We start from the raw sequence: 20,000 nt of genomic DNA on the forward strand, positions 1-20,000 counted from the left end.
GCTAATTAACCCCTCCAGGTGTCTCTCCTTTTAGGTTTAAACATGGTGTGTGTGGCTAGGAGACAAGATGGTAAGAATATGTAAGAGGTGTTATCATTATTTTGACTCAATTTCTGTTCCTTCTGGCCTCATTTCACAGAGCTTTATTAATGTTACCAACACCAAGAAAAATTAGCACAAGGTATTCCCTTTTAAACTGATTAACAGAAGAAAACAGTTTAGTTTAGAAATTTGCTTGAGACTTGAGAGTTCAGTCAAACTCTGTTAATGCCTCAACTATCTTTAGTTATTACCATAATTTAGATTTTATTTATTTTGGTTTTTGTTTCTGCCTACAAGTTTCCTTTTTTACAAAAACTAAACAGCAAACCTGTTTGACAATTTACTTCTTGAAATCTAGCACTATGTTTTAAGCTAGACAAAAATTTAAGGACACAATTGGAGTTCTAAAACTTGAAACAAATCAGCTCTTAATAAGGTAGGTAATCAACTTATAAGCAAGAATAAATTTGTAATCAAATGAAAATGCAATGCCATCCATCTCAGGTTCTGTGTTTGTACTTACCTGGTGCCTGCCTTCCAGTGGTAAACATAGTGCCTAACATATAGTAGATCTCAATAAATATTTGCTGAATGAATGAATGAGTGAATGAATAAACTTAAAACACTGCTCAGAGATGTGACTGCACATCTCAGGTTTTCCAAAACATTCCTGATCTCAAAAATCCCAACAAGTGCAAAATACTGGTTGAGAAAACTCTACTTCCCAGACGACTACCTCTGTCTTCAGAAATGCTGATGACACAATCTAATTAGTTTTTGGAAAATACAGAGTATAGTACAGGGCATTGATTTAGAGTATACATTTTTAGTTGGAATGATTTGCATCTAAATCCCTGACTTGCCATTTACATTGTGGGTTTAGGTAGTTGCTTAATGTCATGACCCCCCTTCTTTGGTAAAATGAGGGTTTTTCAATGATATGTTGCCATATAACAAATCACTGCAAAATATGGTGGGTTAAAGCATCTGCTATTTATTGGCCCGTGGTTCTGCAGAAGGCAATTTGGGCTAGGGTCAGATGGGTGATTCTTCTGCTGATCTCAGCTGGGTCTAACAGGGCCAAATAGTCGGAGAAGGCTTTGTTCAGAAGTCAAGCAGCTGGGGCTGGCTGACCTCAGTTCTCCATGTGGCCTCTTCTCCTTTTCTAGGCTAGACTGGGCTTCTCTCCATGGTCATCTTAGGGCAGTACTCAGATAAACAAGAGAGAGAGCCGCAGGGCCTCGTGGGACCTTAGTTCCAAAACTTGCACAATGCCACTCTGCCATTATCTCAAGGGGAAAGAAAGTTATAGGCATCAGATTTAAGGGGAGGAAAAATACATTCCACTTCTTGGTGGAAGGGAGGCAATGTCACATGGCAAATGGGTTATGTGTCCAGAGAAGCGACGATTCTTACTCTACCCTTGCAAATAATCCACTAGAGAAAGTAATCAGTGGGTTATTTAAACATTAAAAGTGCTATCAATGATAGCGCTTTTGCATGTTTATTGTATTTTAACAAATGATAGTTTATTGTATTTAAATAAATGATAGTTTATTGTATTTTTATTAGTTTTCTGTAAGATAATTATTTTTCTCCTTCTCTGGCTCATTTTCAAGTAATTTTTCTAGCTAAAACATTGGGGGGGATGATATTTAGTATTTTGATTCTAATTTTTTAAGCAATTTCTTTAATCATTCAGGCTCATGCTTCCATTCTAAAGAATACTCACTGATTAAATTTAACCCAGATTCAGTGAATTTTATGTCTAACCTATTATCCACTTTTCAAAAATTCCTTAAAGTGAATGACAGGTTTAAGGCACATAGCCTGTGTATTTGTGAGAGGCAGCAGAAAGGAGGTGACTTTCAGGGATATACCCATCCCAGGTAATCCTTCTTTTAAAAATTCATGTTTAGAGTTCAAGGAACATCGAGTCAGGGAAAGAGGGCCAGAACTGGATTTGTGAGAAATGGATTCTCACAAATCTAGACAAAATTAGAGATGTGTTATAGCCTCTGAGCCTCCTAGGATAAAGACTGCAAAGGATTCTAGGCAGCTGTGGGAAGATAGAATCAAAAAAGAAGCTTGGGCTGAGTGGTTTTTCCTACCTTTATTCTAGTCTGGGGGTTGGCTAACTTTCCGTAAATGGCCAGATGGTAAACATTTTAGGCTTTATGGGCCTCAGGGTTTCTGTTGGAACTACTGAACTTTTCTGCTGTTGGAGAAAAGCAGCCACAGACCATGTCTAAACAAATGGGCAGGGAGTTGCGATAAAACTTTGTTTACAAAAACTGGCAGTAAGCAGGATTTGACCCACTGGCCATGGTTTGCTGATCCCTGCTCTAGTCAGTTGTAAATACACAGCTACAGCATTGCTTTAAGTCTTTAGAAGTCCTGCCAGGACATAGCGTCTCAGCTTAGAAATAGCTTTGCTGGTAGTATCTCAAAGCAGTGCAAGAAATAGTAAAATAGTTTCAAACATTTTATTCCCAATGAAAGTCTCCATGCAAGAGAGCATACACCAGTGAATACAGCATATACTAGCAAAGTAAAATGTGAGTACTGTATTTTTTTTTCTTTTTTGAGACAGTATCTCGTTCTACAGCCCAGGCTAGAGTGCGGTGGCGTGATCTCGGCTCATTGCAACCTCTGCTTCCCAGGCTTAAGCCATCCTCCCACCTCAGCCTCCCAAGTAGCTGGGACCACAGGCATGCACCACCACACCCAGCAAAGTACTGTATATTTTTAAATTACATTGTATAATCATGAGTGTTTTGCCAGACTAAAAGGAGGCAATCTAAATCTAATGCCATGGAATGAATATAGACATAGGTTTGTCTCCTATTTTTCCCACTTTCTATCTGTGTGACCCTATGACTATTTGCTCTATAATTCCTTAATTTATTTACTTAATTATGTATCTAGTAAAGATAATTATAATCAGTTAAATATTGAGAACTCATTAGGTGTGAGGATGAGAATAGTCTACTTTAGTCTTCCTATGACACTCTGTGATATGTACCATTTTTATCCCTATTTTACAGGGCAGAAGAGGTTAAGTAACTTGTCCAACATTCCCCACCTAGTAAGATGCAGACTATGTCCTGAAACCAATTCCTTCTTTTATCTGGATAGGACCATCCACAGAATACTCACTATTGTAGCTCTACCCCATGACAGGTGAATATAATCATCACTGAGCCCTGTCTCTGTCCCCTAAGAGCTGCTTCTGTTCTCTGCATCTCAACATCTGTACCATTAGAATAAGTTAATAACATGTCACACCTGGGGTTGATGTGAGGACTAGGTGACTTTCCTTACATACAATGTAAGGATCCTAAGTATCTTTACAGGAAAGCCTCTTTCAGTTCAACTTCAATTTGGTGTCAAGATTTACAATCACCGCTAGTTTTTAAATGAGATAATATATCTGTATGCACAAATATAGGTTATTGTTTTACTGGACATAAGATGGTAAGAATTGCCTAGGACAATTTACTTGTTTTATATTTAGGTAATTCTGAATTAGGGTTTTTATTTCATATTTTGCTTATTTGCTGAAGTACTTATATGGAAAGTGAAAGCATTTGAATATTTGCTGCAATTAATATTAAGAAGCTTAAGCATCCCAAATCTTAATCCACTGGAATTGTTCTCAGTACTCAATAATTATTATTGCTGATTTGCAGTCTTGTCTCATTCTCTTGCTCTCTAATATTATTTTGTCTTTACACAAATTGACTGCTGATGTGTTGTCTTCCCAGGCTGCACAGAGGTTGGCATAACTATTCAGCAGCAAAAAAATACTAAAAATAATAACACCGAAATGGAATATTTGTAAAATTAAAAGTTCAAGGAAATACCAACTTTTAAGAACTAATGCTTAATTAATAAAATGCATTTTATATATAAGTATAAAAATACATTTAGAATATAAAATCATAGATGCATCATATCAAAGAAAGGAAAATTGCATCATTACATGGGAATCCTAAAAATATAAAAACATAGGCTGGACACAGTGGCTCACACCTGTAATCTCTGCACTTTGGGAGGCTGAGGTGGGCAGATCACCTGAGGTCAGGAGTTCTAAACCAGCCTGGCCGAAATGGTGAAACCCTGTCTCTACTAAAAATATAAAAATTAGCCGGGCGTGGTGGCTCACGCCTGTAGTCCCAGCTACTTGGGAGGCTGAGGCATGAGAATTGCTTGAACCCGGGAGGAGGAGGCTGCAGTGAGCTGAGATCATGCCACTGCACTCCAGCCTGGGTGACAGAGAGAGACTGTTTCAAAAAAAATTATATATAATATATATATACATATATATAATGTTATTAGCAGCATATATATATATGGGCTTTAGGTCAATGTGTTGGACTATGCTTATTTAGACACCTTTTTCCCTTACCCTCCTCACCCTATGCCAAATCAACACAAGGAAATAGATAAAAGAGAGTAAGTTTTGAATGTATAAATTATCTCAAAGCTACATGAGCAAACTATCCAGCGGTCAGAGAGTTTGGGAGAATATAAAATCAGAGCTGTGAGCAGCAGCTGAAGCCAAATGGTTCACAGATGTACTTGGAGTCAATATAAATCTTCAGGGCTTCTGGGTCCCAATAGAGAGAGGAGTTGGGAGGCACCTAATATAAGACAGTAAGTTGGAGCTGAGGTGTCTCTACAAAGCTGGGTGTTACAAAGGATTGTTCTGCATTTTATCTGGACTGGAAGAACCCTGGCCTCCAGCTCAGAAAAAAGCAGAATGTTGCTTGACTTCTGTCCAGATCCATGCGGGGCAAAAGAGTCTCCTCAGAGAAATCAGAATCCAGACCTGGGCCAACTGAAGTGTGTAGTCTAATTTTACAGTGCCCCCATAATGCAAATAGTTCAAGGACCTCTCCTTCCCTGATATGGTTTAGCTGTGTTTCCACCCAAATGTCATCTTGAATTGTAGCTCCCATAATAATCCCCATGTGTCCTGGGAGGGATTCAGTGGGAGGTAATTGAATCATGGGGGCGAGTCTTTCCTGTGCTGTTCTCATGATGGTGAATAAGCCTCACAAGATCTGACGGTTTTATAAAGGGCAGTTTCCCTGCACAGGCTCTCTTGCCTGCCCCCATGTAAGATGTGCCTGCCACCAAGTAAGACATACCTTTACTTCTTCACCTTGTGCCATGATTGTGAGGCCTCCCCAGCCATGTGGAACTGTGAATCTATTAAATCTTTTTCTTTATAAATTACCCAGTCTCAAGTATGTCTTTATTAGCAGCATGAGAACACATTAATATATTCTTTAAGCCACAAAAGTAACACGAGTATCAGTAAGAACGGCTGATATCCATGAAACTGCAGCAAACACAACCCCAGTCACAGTTCAGGCCAGAGTACCCCTGAAAAATGAGCTCATAGCCAGTGGAAATGAGCTCATAGCCAATATTATAAACCACACAAGAAAATGAACTATTGTAAAGGAGAGTTAGAAAATATGGAAGCATTAGAAACAAATTCTAAAATAAGCATGTTTAAAATGTTTGGTGAGATGAAGAAAAGATTAGAAAGAAAACAGCAAGAACAGGAATCTAAGATAAAAGAACAGGCAGGTTTGAAACAGAATTAGATAGAAATATTAGGTATAAAAATTATAGATGTTGGAATTGAAAATTCGATAAATAAATAGCAGTCTAGACACACTGAGAGAAAATTAAGAGTTCAGCAAAGAATTTGAGCTTGAAAATACGTAAACAACTCTTGGAGGGACAGAGAATGATAGAAGATTCCTTGTGCAACTAATCAAGGATCAAGAGTGTAACCCAGGGTCCCTGGGTTTTTGGGTACACACTGTGAAGAACTATCCACTTTTAACTGTTGCACCTTGAGTTTCCGTTGTTTAAAAGTGTTCTAGGAAGAAGCCGAGCCCCTGCAAAACAAAGAACAAACACAAAAAACTGGTCCCAGGCATCCGGGGATGCCTGAGCTGGAGATGAACTTTGGAGACCTCTTCACCTTACCATACTAAATGCCCTGCCCAGGGAAGAGCTTATGTGCCATTTTCTGTATGGGCAACATATGAAGAAGCATGAACAACAGCTGTGCCTGCCTGCACTCCACCTCTGCACACAGTGACTCAGCTAAGCAGCCCCCACAAAGCCCTGTTTCCACCTGTGTCTGGGGAGGCACTGCTTTGGGAACTATCCCCAGTGTTCTACTTACTTGTTGCCAGTAATGAAATCCCTTGGTTAAATCCTCCTTGGTTGTGGTCATTGGACTCCCACCTGCCAAGCAACTGAACCCGCCCATTGTGTGGTAACAAGAGAAGTCAAGAAAATAGAGGGAAGTTAGAAAGCACGATTTAAAGACATGGAGGATAGAATAAAAAATATGATAAAAACAAATATTAATCAGTATTCCAGAAAACAAAGAATAGAGAGAATGGAGAAGAGAGCTGTTTTGAGAAGATAATACCTAAAAACCTTCCAGAATTGAAGAAAGGCATGAGTCTCATATGCAGAGAATGAGTTCACAGTAGATAAAAAATAAAAATCCATGCCTAGGCACAGGATACTAAGACCATAAGACAGCAAAGACAAAGGGTAAATCTTAAAAACTACCAGAGAAAAACGATGTTAAAAAAAACCCAAATTCACAAAGCCAAAAAAAAAAAAAAAAAAAAAAAGGAAAGCCTTAAAATTCGACTCACGGTAGGCTTGTTATTGGCAGTAATAGATTCCAGAATACAACGAACATATCTCAGGTTTTATGTCCAATCAATACCAAAGGAGAATTCTGCACTAATTGAAGCTAATTATCAAAAATAAGACAAATTAAAGCCATTTTCAGAAAAGTACACAGGAAGCAGAAATATTTAGCCAGCTACAAAATGAAGGTGGCACACTTAACTTATGCTACTGTAGATCTTATTTAACAAAAGCAAAAATAAAAACGTAATTCTCTAAAGATTATTTTGCATTACCAGAACTAATAAAAACATTTGTTTCAGAGGTTAGACAAGTTACGTAAATGTGAGAAATAAAGGAAATAGGGGAAGTGAGACTTGCAGCAAATGTGGAGTGCTCACGCTTCACTTTAACAAAGTTATAGTAAAAAAGTTTGGAAACAATGTCTGTACACACGCACACACTCAGACAGGGATGCCTGCATCCAGCACATGGCTGTAAGAACTACTACAAGTTAATGATCCATCGTTTCTTCTAAATTTATTTCACCTTCATTTCTTGTTTTATTTTAATATCTCTGTTTGAGGGCTGTTCATATTTATTAACATCATTCTATTTTCAGTACCTATATAGAGTAAGTGCAAAATAACTGTTTGTTGAATATATTATTTATGAGTACATCTCATTCTTCTGCTTACTGTGAGAAAGTATCTCCTATTCTTTCAGAATGGTTACATTCTCAGAAAAATAGAAATACATCTCACTTTTCTACTTACCTAAAAATAAAGCTGATCAATAATAATCTTTATAGTAGCAATTGTGGTAGTGGTTGTTATTTTTGTTTTAATGGTGGCAGCTTATATTTATTAGCCATTCATGATTTATTCTAATACGTTTATTTTAGTTTTAATTTTATTTAGCATATTTAAGTTATTTAGCATGTTTTAGTATATTTAGAATATTTTGCTTTTATGATTCCAGAATCCCAAGTCCTAAGGGAGTGAGAGCTGAGGGGTAGGGAAGAATAAAGGAGAAAAATGGATGGGCTCTCTCCACTGTCCAGTGACTCCTCGGGATGACCAACTTCTTTTTCATAGCCCACATGGCTCAGGCTAGAAGCACTTTGTCAAAGGCTGGGGGCTTTCTCTCCAGAGAAGGAGGCTCTTACCTCTTCAGCAGGGTTTTGGCAAAGCAGGGCTCACAAGCTGGAACATGGAAGCCCCTAGAGTTCAAGGGTCAGGTCTTCATTAGCCTTGAGGTAAGAGCTGTGTTACGGCTTTCCTAAATAACACTATTATTATTTTTTGCTCCAACTGATTAGTTGATAAAACGGATTTGATTTCATAGAGTGTCCAGGGAATTATGTTCTGCAGGCTGCTGTCGCCAGCAGAGAAAGTTTCCTTGACTGTCCATACACGATTTCCATGCTATTCTATTCACATTTGTTTCACGTGAGTATCTGGCTTAACAGAGAAGTCATACATTCAAACGAACAGTGAAATTAGAGCCTAGAGTTGTATTTGAATTTGATTTAAATTTTCAATTACTAAATTTCTGCAGAATGATGATTTTCAAAAGGCAATCTATCAAATATAAAATTCTCATAAATGTGATCAGCCAGTCCTCAAGTATATACCGAGTTCAATGAGAGCGAGAAAAGACATCAAAAGAAGTGCCTGAGGCTCTGCTCCCACCTGAGACAACTGGGTCTAATGAACGAATCCAGAACATAAGGGTAAAACACACACAGGCACGCACGTGTGCACACACACACACACACTCCCAGACGGTGGGACACATGTAGAACGAAGTAACGAAGTGTCCACTTTGATGCACAAACCTTGCTATCACAGTTCAGACAGAAGGGAGATGAGTGCTGCTGGCAGATTAGGGGAAACTTACCTGAGTAGGTCCTGACAGGTGAGTCACAGGAGATGGGGGTAGGGGGAGCGGTAGGAGAGAGGCAATCCAGGAAGAATGGGATGAACACATACATTCAAGAAGAGAATGGAGAGAGGCATTCCAGGAAGAATGGGATGAATACATACATTCAAGAAGAGAATGGACTGCCAGTGTTCAGAAGAGTACAGAGTACGGAATACGAAATGCCTACATTATTTTTTTTCTTCAATATTTATGCATATTGAAAAAGAATACCTTGTATTTATAAAAATTCACTCACGCAATAAAGGCAGTACTATGAATCCTTATCTTTTAAAAAAGTAAACCGCCAGCTATCTCATATTAAAAATGTGCATATCATTTCACCCAGAAATTGTTTCTAGGAATCTGTTCTAAAGCATAATCACACATGAGCACAGAATGTATATATGCCTGTATTCAACACAGCATTACTTATTGCAGGGAAAGACTGAAAACCACTTAAATGTCTATCAGTAAGGGAAGAATGAAAAACATGTTATAACATACCATGAAACTTACAGAGAGGGGAGAAGAAATGAGAAAAGAAAGGAAGAGAGGGAAGGAGGGAGGGAATTATATATGGCAGAATTTATTACTTTCTTAAATCATTAAATCTCTTACATTATTTGAAGTATTACTTTTTTAACTTATAAATGTTTAAAATACAACCATAAAAATGCTAATTTCTTGGAATCCACTAGATATTTCCAATGAACACTGTCTTCTACATATAACATGAAATAAATCATCACTTTATGCTCTCCAAAATTTACTTTTAAAATTTCCTTTCACTGTCTGATGAAAAACTCCTCTAGTCACTATCTTTTCTCATCCATTCAACAAGAACTCCTAAACATCTTTCAGCAGACAATGGACAACCTTATTTTTAAAAAGTCATGCCTGCAATTTCTGCCTTTAAACTCCTTTCTTCCTAACATTCTGAAGAATATCTGGACACCTAATTTCAGTTTAAGTAAGTCTGTGGCCCTATTTGAGAACCTGAGAAACCTAAAGACAGTCCCTTTAAAAATCCTCAAGCACACATTTCATGTAACCTAGGGGCACTTATGATTCAAGATACAAGGATAAAACTCCTTGCATTTGGCTAAGAGTTTTCACAAATATTCCTCATAGGATGTTTCTTGATCTTGTCCTCGACTCAACAAAAATATGTCAGGTTTTCCTTGTTCCATGATAAAGGAATTTTTATCAGAGCAAACAGAATTATCATAGATGAAGCCCTTTTAGTTGAATTCTATTGCCTTAGTTCTCTCTTCCATATGTGTTTTCATAAAAATCAATAAGTAATTCCTATGGCAACAGTAAACATCAAGATAAATGCATCAGAAAAACCCCTTGGTGCTTTTTTTTTTTTGAAAGCATTATAAATCTCAATTACATATTTTACAAATTAGTCTTTACTGGGCTTTTTCTTTTATGACTGCAGTAAAAATATACGTTCTGTAATAAATCATGGTTGTAGATATATAACTTTCTGTTTTCTATTTATTTGTAAAGTTCTCATCTGATATCACATATGGTAGCATGAAATATGCTTTAATATCATTTAACTCTGATGAATCAATTTTTAGCAGCAGCATCAACAAAATTCAATTTACATCCCATTATAATTTGAATAAAAGTAATTTTCTTTCATCATATTTTATGTCCATATTTAACATCAGATGTAATAAGAGGCAAATTATAAAAATAATAGAATACTAATAGAAAAAGATATAGAAAGTTATTTCAAAGTCAAGCAAATCCTGTGTTAAAACTAAAACACTGGACCCGTGTAAGTGGATCCATTGTCAATCCTATTTCAGCAAGATACAGGGGTAGTCCGAAGCACAGAACTCCACCAGTGATGAAAATAATAACTGATATTTCTAAATCAATATTTAATAAAACTGATTTATGACCCACACAGGGAGCTGAGTCCATAGCTTATAGTCAATACTACCCAAATTCAAAGAAGAAAAATACCACAAAAGTAAATAACAGCTACAGTATATTTCTTCTTGTAAAAAATACCAGTCCCAAATTTCAATACTCATAATTACGTTCTTCAGAAGTGAGTTGGGAATATAGGAAATCTGGAAGACTCAATCACCCTTTACCTTAGTTTTCTGCATTTTCTTGAAAGGCCCAATTAATTTATTGTTGCCAAAAGCAATTCATGAAGATTACAAGTCATCATCTTAAATTTGTTCTTAGCATCCAAAATCCACATGTTAACTCCTGTGGAGCTGACGACTTGTAGTTTTCTTATCTAATATTTTAAGGAGGATATATATAGAAAAGCTTTATAATTTTTTCGTAAAGAAAACTAATAAGGTAAATACTGTTTATGTCACATTCTAATAAAGAAATTAATTAATGTGGATTTCCAAAATCACCTTGTATAAATTTGTTGGTTAATTTGTGATAATTTAGAAAGCAAATTTAAATATTCATATCTCAAAGAAAGTAAATTCAAATACACAACAGAAATTAATGCATGTAGCTATACATTACATATAGCAAACACATGCCTTATCACGGCATTTTGAATTTAGTTCAAATACACACAAAACTTACTAAAATATACCAAATAGCATATTTTCTTTTGCTTGCTAAGTTCTCTCCCACATCTCTAGCCATGATGTGTCTACCACCTAATTTTACATCAAAAGTAGTATTTACTAATTTTTTCTGGCATTATCTCTAATCCTTGCCCAGATGTTTACAGCTCAGTAGCTTATAAAACTGCATTGCCTCCCAGGTACATTGTTTAATATTTATATTCTTTCATTCAACTAACATATATTATGCACCAACTCTCTGTCTCACAGAATACAGAATACAAGGGACTAGACTTAAAGCCAGAGACCAACCCCTTAAGGGGCCATCAGTTTGCAGTGGACGTCACATTCCTTCACATTTACTCTTTATTATTTATTTATTTATTTATTTATTTATTTATTTATTTATTTATTTTTTGAGACAGAGTCTTGCTCTGTTGCCCAGGCTGGAGTTCAGTGGCTCAATCTCGGCTTACTGTAACCTCTGCCTCCCAGATTCAAGCGATTCTCCTGCCTCAGCCTCCCGAGTAGCTGGGATTACTGGCACCCGCCATCATGCCCAGCTAATTTTTGTATTTCTGTAGAGACAGGATTTCACTATGTTGCCCAGGCTGGTCTTGAATTCCTGACCTCAGGTGATCTGCCTGCCTCAGCCTCCCAAAGTGCTTGGATTACAGGCTTGAGCCACCACGCCCAGCCCACATTTATTCTTTTTTCTAAGACTTGTCTAAAGACTTCAGGACAAGAGGGAGGTCACCATGTTGCAGGATATGCCACTATGGCAGGTCACTCTTTTGGAAGATGTGTTTCTTCCATCATCATAATGAGACTTTATAATGGACCAGGTGTCCTGACAAGCCACAGGAATGAAGGTTACTCATGGCTGGCTACTCTGGTAACGTAGTAGTTTGTAGATCAAGAGCACAGGCTTCAGCCTCAGCACACGGGGCAGCAAGACATGGCTTCCAAATGCGGCTGGTAAGAGGCTCTGGGAGAGTTCATTCTTGCTTATCTCATTCTCCCCACTCATCAGCTGAGGGATAATGATACCCCATGGGCTGATTTTGAGGATTAAAAACACAATGGATGCAAAACCTTTTCACTGGTGCCAGGCACATAATATGCAATCGATAAATGATACCAACAGTTGTCCTAAGTAATGACAGTAATTACAAAAGTAACGACTGTCTGATGGACAATTAGTCACCATAAGAATACAGTGTTTATTATTTCCTGGCTTTACCTTCGACTTTTGAATATATAGAACAGGCAAAGTGATCCACCATATACAGCTCGTGTAGTGTTAAGGGCATATGTTGTATGTCTTTTCTATTAGTTATTTTCAGAATGTCTTGATTCATAGTTTATCTTGCTTGTGGGCTTCCTCTGCTATAAGCTGTTTCAGTTGAATTTCATTTATTCTGGATTTTTTTGAAAATGGGCTTTTGTCATTTATTCTGATGATTCTAAAGACTAATAAAAAATGCATGATAGCGATTTACTTCCTAAGTGACTTTTCAGGATGAGTTTTATCATCCAATGACATTCATTAAGTTGTTTAGTCCAAACTGAACATTTTTTATTTTTTACCTGACTGTACAATGAATGAAGGGTTCAAATAACCACCTGAATAGTTTTGTTCTCATCTCTTGTACCAAATGTTTTACTTTCTTTTAAAAGGTCATGACAAGGAATCACCAGTTCGATGGTGTTTTTTTGCTGTGATTTATTTCGCATATATGGTATATTTTGTGTTGCTTTCTTTCTAACTGGCACATCACCTCTGTTTGGATAACGGTCTTCCCCATCAGCATTTCACTAAAGGGAAATAATGCTAACATTCCACTAGAAAATTAGGAATAAAACTAAGCTTTGCAAATTGTTTTTGAATTTTCTTCTTAAACACTATTTTGAGTTGTAAGACGGTTTGGTGGAAACAGCAAGTATGGTGGACATCTGCAAATCTGGAGAAGTGAGTTCAGCCTGCCTCTGCCCGGAGTTCTCTGTAATTCTAATCCCACTCACTCTGACTCTCAGATCCCCACCTGTGTGGGTAAAATGTATGACTGCATTATCTGTTCCAGCTCTAAACTTCTGTAATTTCATTTCCAGTGTTATTACAGAAAATCACAGTGTCGCCTCTTTTATGTCTCAGCTTTTATGTCTCATATGTTTATGAGCAAGTGGGAACAGCGGAAGTAGGAACTGAAAGTGGGGTAAGTATTCAGAAAAGGGAAGACACATTTTCTAAATAGGGTAAGTTGCTGTGATTTTGTGTCACTTCGACAGTGTGGCTTTTAGGATGTTGTCAATCCCCAAACCTTACCACTGTATGATTCCTACCCACCTTGCCACCCATACTGCAATCACGGAATCTCAATGTCTGCTAAATAAATTTTGCGATTTTGCAAGATGTCCTTTAGATTATGTCTACTACTCAGGAAGCTTGCAACATGGGGAGTGTGTGATATCTTGAGTGCACGGGCTAATGTCTTAGCAGGGATGAGTCAGTTGGGGGTCCTTAGGAAGGAGCCACAGGAAAGCTATCCAGAAATAAAGATGGAAAGGTGCATAAATGGAAGAAAGAGACAGAAATAACTAGTATCTCAGTTGTCACGTGGCTCAGGGAATTAGAGGAGGTCGGAAAATAAATCACTTAGTGCTGGAGCCCCTGCACATCACAGCATGGCTGTGCCTTCTGCTCAATGCCCCAGCTGGTGCTTTACTTAGGCTCTGTGGAAGGAGCACCTGTTGAAAGGCGCTGAAAGGGAGAGGCTCCAATCCAGGGGTCACAGATTCGAATGTATATGGATAAATAAATAAAATTAAACATATGCATGATGCTTCATCAAACTAGAAAATTCAATGACACGGGCTAAATGTTGATCAGATTCTAGAGAGATTGGTACAAGCACAGAAGTCAGGACATTTGTGAGAGGGGAGGGGAATAATTGATGAATAAAGACCAAACATCACCAAAAACTTGCCTTCTAGAATGCTAGTCATTGATTGGAATAAAATGAAATGGGAGATATGAGTTAACATAGGCAAGATGCAAGGTTAAGAACACCGTGCCCCGGCGGGTACAGTGGCTCACGCCTGTAATCCCAGCACTTTTGGAGGCCGAGGCGGGTGGATCACGAGGTCAGGAGATCGAGACCCTCCTGGCTAACACGGTGAAACTCCGTCTCTACTAAAAATACAAAAAAATTAGCCAGGCATGGTGATGGGCGCCTGTAGTCCCAGCTAACTGGGAGGCAGAGGCAGGAGAATTGCTTGAACCCAGGAGGCAAAGTTTGCAGTGAGCCAAAATTGTGCCACTGCACTCCAGCTTGGGCGACAGACCGAGACTCCATCTCAAACAAACAAACAAACAAAAAACACCGTGCCCCTGCCCCAATGCCTCTCCCTTGAATAAGATACTGGAAAACCTGCATAGTTAATGTCTGTAAACAAAGGGAATCATATCAGATGCAGTGTGTGAGTGTGAAAATATCTATGTCCTGCCCTCCCTTATTATTACACCATTTTCCCTCAAATAACACAGAGATACATTCATATTTTGCCCGTGCATCCCAATTTCTAGTTCATTCTGCGTTTGTTCTACGCTACACGTACTCTAAGTGTAGTTTCTCAGTTGCTCTTTACATTAACTGTATAAGGTAGGTCTATCACTTACCCCATTTCCTAGATGGGGAAATTGAGGCAAGAGAGTTAATTACTTTCCTAAGGCTGTCACACTAATATAAAGTGGAGTCATGATCTAAACCCCAGGGCCATTCTTTTGAACAACTGTGCTTCAAGCAAACTTTACCACAAAGGAGTCATGTGCCCCTAATAATTTTAAACATGCTACAGCAAATAGCATAACTCTATTCAGAGGTTAAAAAATATACTGTTTGTTACTTTTCTTTTGAGAACTATTATCAAGATTTAGAAAGAATTGATTCCAATATTATTACTCATATTGAAATGATTTTTTGGGACGTGGTCATAGATAATATTATTTGGATTTTTGAGTTATTTCTAAAGAAAGTAATTTCTGAGTTTATCATGCATTCTCATCTCATGACAAGTATGCACATATCTCTATTATACATTTCATATATTGTATAAATGTTACTTTTTTAACTGCTAAAATGTGAATGTTAAGAATATCAACATAATCACACTATCTCCCCCGGTTTTCATCTTATCTCTTCTAGATATTCATAATTTATAATATTTACATTGTATTTTGTAAATCCTACAGTTACATTAGCTTTGTTCTTAAAACAAATAGATACTAGAGACTAGCTCATGATAAGAAATTCTTGATTGACTGAATGTTTTCAAGAAGATTTCATGCAAAATATAGTCTCTATGTTCCTGCCTCTTCAAAAATATTCAGAAAGAGCTTGACCCATTCTTTCCCTAAAGAATTTGTAAGCATTGTGCCATTACATTCTAGAGTTCCATATTGACATGAAGTTTCAGGCCTCTCTGATGTACCTCCTTATAGCTAACTTGACCTTATTTTTTCTGGATGCCTAATGAATGTTTTCTTTAGCTTTGATTTCCAACAATTTTACTAAGATGTGTCTCAGTGTTGACTGTTCTATGTTCACTTACTGAGAAAAGCTGCATCCTTCGAATCTGTAATTCAGTGCTCTGTTTCCTACTAAGCTTTTATGAGTTATATATCATGATTTTTTTTCAGTTTTAAAAGTACCTCAAAGTACATTTTTATAGATGTGGTCCTCATTCTTTCAATTATGACTCATCTTTGAAATAAATTTTTGTTAGACCAGATGTCTGTCACTGTTTCACTTTGGGGAGGAACAGGGTAATGTTCTAGGATAGTGCAATGGACAGAATGCTGATGTTTCCCCCAAATTCATTTGTTGAATTTCTAACCCCCATGGGGGTGATGCTACCAGAAGGTAGGACCTTTGGGTGTGATTAGATCATGAAGGTGGAGCCCACATTAATGGTATTAGTAACCTTATGAAGGAGGTTCAAGAGAGAACCCTTACTGCTTCTACTACGTGAGGACACAGTGAAAAGGTGCCATTCTATGAACCAGGAAGTGAGCCTTCACCAGGCATGAAATCTGCTGCTGTCTTGCTCTTGGACTTCCCAGACTCTAGAACTGTGAGAAATAAATTTCTCTTGGTTATGAGACACTGATTCTGTGACATTTTGTTACAACAACCAAAATGGATCAAGATGGAATTGAAGGTTTTTATAATACAGGTGTGTGTGTGTCTATGTGTGTATTTCTTTAGTCCAATGGTTCATAACTCTGCATGCACATAAATTAATCACCTGGAGAGCCTTTAAAAGCCATCTATTCCTTGGATCACTCTAAGGTTGTGATTTAATTGACATGAGGATGGTGCTTGAGAATCTGTTTGTTTTAAAAGGTTCCCCAGGTCATCCTAAGTTATAGTGGCCATGAAAACCTTCCGTTTAGCTTTTATCCCATTCTAGCCAACCCAGATCAGCAGCAACAAAGCAGTTGTGTCCCCTCCACTCTATCTCCCCACCAACTGCCTGCAGAAATGAGGGCCTCTGCCTTGTGATGCTGCATGGGGTCCTAGTAAGCCTCCACAATCAGCCTTTGCTCTGATTCCCTGACTCAAATATGAGACAGTTGTGTTCCTCCAGGAACATGCATTATCTTAGAATATTGCTATCCTGCTGGTGCTGTCTGAGATCCACAGTAGGCAGAATCTTCTCAGGAAGTTTTCTGTTAGATGCCCAGTCCTGTGATGTGGTTTATAGTTACAGCTTTTCAGAGTTCTTAAACATGAAAATTTCATTTCTGTTTCTCAATCTTCTTGATATTTGGATGATTTTGGGGACACAAAGAGGCAAAGATGTCTTTACTCTTCAATCTTACAACAGGGGTTCCTTGTAATTTTTTCTACTCCATGACTCTGGCTTTTAATATATTTTAAAATTTGAATTTTTCAACATCATCAGTGTTAAATCTTAATGAGACATAAAGCTACTTCTGCCAGAAATTTTATAAGTGAATTGAAATTCATGTTTTGAATGGTAATTTGATTAGTAAGAAAAGGAAATGGGCTCCTTTTTAACTAACCATAATTACTTACATATTCAAGTATATTAGCCAAATTCATATGCATAATTAGGCACCTAATTATGTTTTAAATTCAAATGCATGCATGAAGAGATGATCACATGTGTCTAATAAAATATTTTATTTTCCTCATTTTGGGCAAAAAATTGTCTTTTGTTTCCATAAGAACTTTTAAATATAGTAGTTTGTGTATCTACAGAGATACATAATATCAGGAAGCAGCTATCAATTTCAATCTAAATTATAACGACCATTTAAAAATGTTTTGGTTATGGTACAAGATCAACATTTCATTATCTAACAATTAGTCATACAGTGATGATGAATTTGGGAAAAATAAGCAAACGGATGAAATTAAGCCTGTATAGAAAGGAAGGAGTCATGAGGAATAATGAATATTGCCAACAAAAACAGACAAAATCAGGCAAAAGAACAACAAGAAAACAACTAAATTCTCTATTGTGGCTCTGCCTCCTCATACAAACATGCCTGGTTACCAATGAATTAAAAAGACATACGCTTTGTTGAGCCTATTAGTAAATATTTATGGAGGGCTCCCTGTGAGCCAGGCATAGCCCTGTGCCCTGGAGACTTGAAGACGAAAAGATGCACTTCCTGTTTTCAAGGAGCTTAAATCCTTGGGAGATAAATTAACAGTACAGCTATAGTAAGATAATTGCTTTAGTAGGGGGCGACTGCCTCCAAGGCAATTTCCTCCTAGAACTGGTCCTCTCAAGTCAGCACAGTACAAGGAGACTTTTTCTCTCAAAAAGAGATTCTACCCTATATTAAGCAAAGCCATTGTAAGTCAGAGTGAAGAAAGATGAATCAACTTGAATATAATGCTGCATTTTGAATTTGGGTACAATTGTTGCATTAAAAACGGTGAGGGTATGAGGTGCTTTAGCTACATGATTTTAAAAAATTGGAGGTTATTTTCTGTAAGGGCAACCTTAACCCTGGAATGGTGACCACTCTCCATAGAAGACATGGATACACTCAGACCCTAAAAGAAAGAGCTGCAGACTCTGATAAGGCATGCATTCTAGTCATGCCCAGCTGTTGGAACTCCTGAAGCTTATTCCGCACAGCCTATCAGCCTATATACATCTCGCCTCCCATACCACATCTGTGATTTCTTCCTCATGCCTAAAAGTTATTGGTATAATTCATGATGCCTCTGTACTTTTGAGACAGAGGGAAGGATTTAAGACTAATTACAAAGTTGGATAAGTTTAAGAGAGTATAGAAAATTGAAATTGCTTCACATCAGTTGGCTTCTGGATTTTTGTGAAATAGGAGACAATATTACTGGTCAAAAGAGATGGAAGAATGCCATCTAACTATAATGCTTGAAATAAAATATGAGGAAATACTAAAACATAAAGATGAAAACCTGAGATGTTATTTGCAAAACTGACTTTAAAAAGATACCATCAGCCCACGTTCAGTACTATATTCTATATAAAAGCTGTAACTTTATGGTTTAGCACGCAGGCCTGACACTTGAAGAAATTTTAGTTTAAAAAATTACTCTGATAACAATTCTCAAGGCATAAAATACTTGTTTGGAATTATACATTTTTTGCTTTAATAATATAATATGCGCAACTTGCATGGAATTATAAAAATACAATGATATCAACTAAATGGCAGATGCTAAATTCTTTCATTATGTATGTAATGGCACATTTTAGGACTTAATAAGGCAAGCCAAGAAGAATGTACACATTTGAGCACATAGTTCTCATGCACAAGCATTTCCCATACATTTATTACTTAGTTGATGCATATTCACTAAGTAGTTCATTAATTGTATTCTAATCAAGGAGCACTTTTCAGCTCTAATGCACTCATCAATACCTAGTATTACAGTTTTTAAGACTTACCTTGCCTATTAGGGTATAGTTACATAGTTACATATGAAAGGAAACCAAATTTTGTTTATCTTTGAGTCAACAACCCAGAACCCTGTTCAACAAACAAATATTTTTAAATGCTTAAATGCTGTTATTGAGAATCGAAATAGTCAAAAATGAGAGATCTGTAACTCCATACAAACACTGCTGCCCATATACATACACAGCTTGTATGCTACGCACTGTCGGGTAGAATATATTATAAAATAGGCATAGAATTAAAATTTATATTTGTATTTCTTCTATACTACAGCCAGTCAAAATATTAGTATCAATTATTTAATTATTCTGTCCACTTCATAAACATCACAAAATAGAAACTTAAAACGTATTTTACCAGTAAGACAGACCTATCTCATTAAAGCCACTGTAGCCCAGCTCTTGCCTGCTAAGTCCCAGATCTTCAAGGTCCATGCATTTAAATCCAGGTGGGCACTGGTAGCCTTCTTCTAGCTCTGGTGAGCAGTGTGTGTCTGGAATAGCTAAACTATTCCAGGTTACATTCCTGTGAACAACACATGAAAGTGTTAGACAATTTCAACAATCATAAATGTTGATTACAATGAATAATGTAATTACCCTTCATTAATATCTATGTATCTGGCCAAGTGAGGTTGCTCATGCCTGTAATCGTTGCACTTTGGGAGGCATAGGCAGGAGAATCCCTTGAGCCCAGGGGTTCGAGGTTGCAGTGAACTATGATCATGCCACTGCATTCTAGCCTGGGCAACAGAGCAAGACCTTGAGAGACCTTTGCTCTTTCTATCTATCTATCTATCTATCTAT

General features: G+C 37.2%; 1 protein-coding gene across 9 annotated transcripts in view, besides 1 other annotated feature; it reads right to left on the minus strand.

Annotated features, from left to right (window-relative positions):
* The window catches only part of NALCN (sodium leak channel, non-selective), a 363,404-nt gene that overhangs the window by 271,926 nt on the left and 71,478 nt on the right, over positions 1-20,000 (minus strand). For all 9 annotated transcript variants that reach the window (XM_011521069.3, XM_011521067.3, XM_024449336.2 and 6 more), the window contains one exon: positions 19,565-19,719. In XM_011521069.3, the coding sequence (XP_011519371.1) occupies positions 19,565-19,719 (155 nt within the window). The remainder of the gene's footprint in view (positions 1-19,564; positions 19,720-20,000) is intronic.
* Positions 8,493-9,048: an enhancer, noted in NCBI's record as "NANOG hESC enhancer chr13:101986545-101987100 (GRCh37/hg19 assembly coordinates)". NCBI's record gives its function as "activates a minimal SCP1, AML or CMV promoter by ChIP-STARR-seq in naive H9 embryonic stem cells {active_cell/tissue: H9 hESC(naive)}" and the evidence as "EXISTENCE:reporter gene assay evidence [ECO:0000049][PMID:30033119]".

This window comes from Homo sapiens, chromosome 13 (assembly GCF_000001405.40).
Source record: "Homo sapiens chromosome 13, GRCh38.p14 Primary Assembly".
In the NCBI taxonomy this organism is placed as follows: domain Eukaryota; kingdom Metazoa; phylum Chordata; class Mammalia; order Primates; family Hominidae; genus Homo; species Homo sapiens.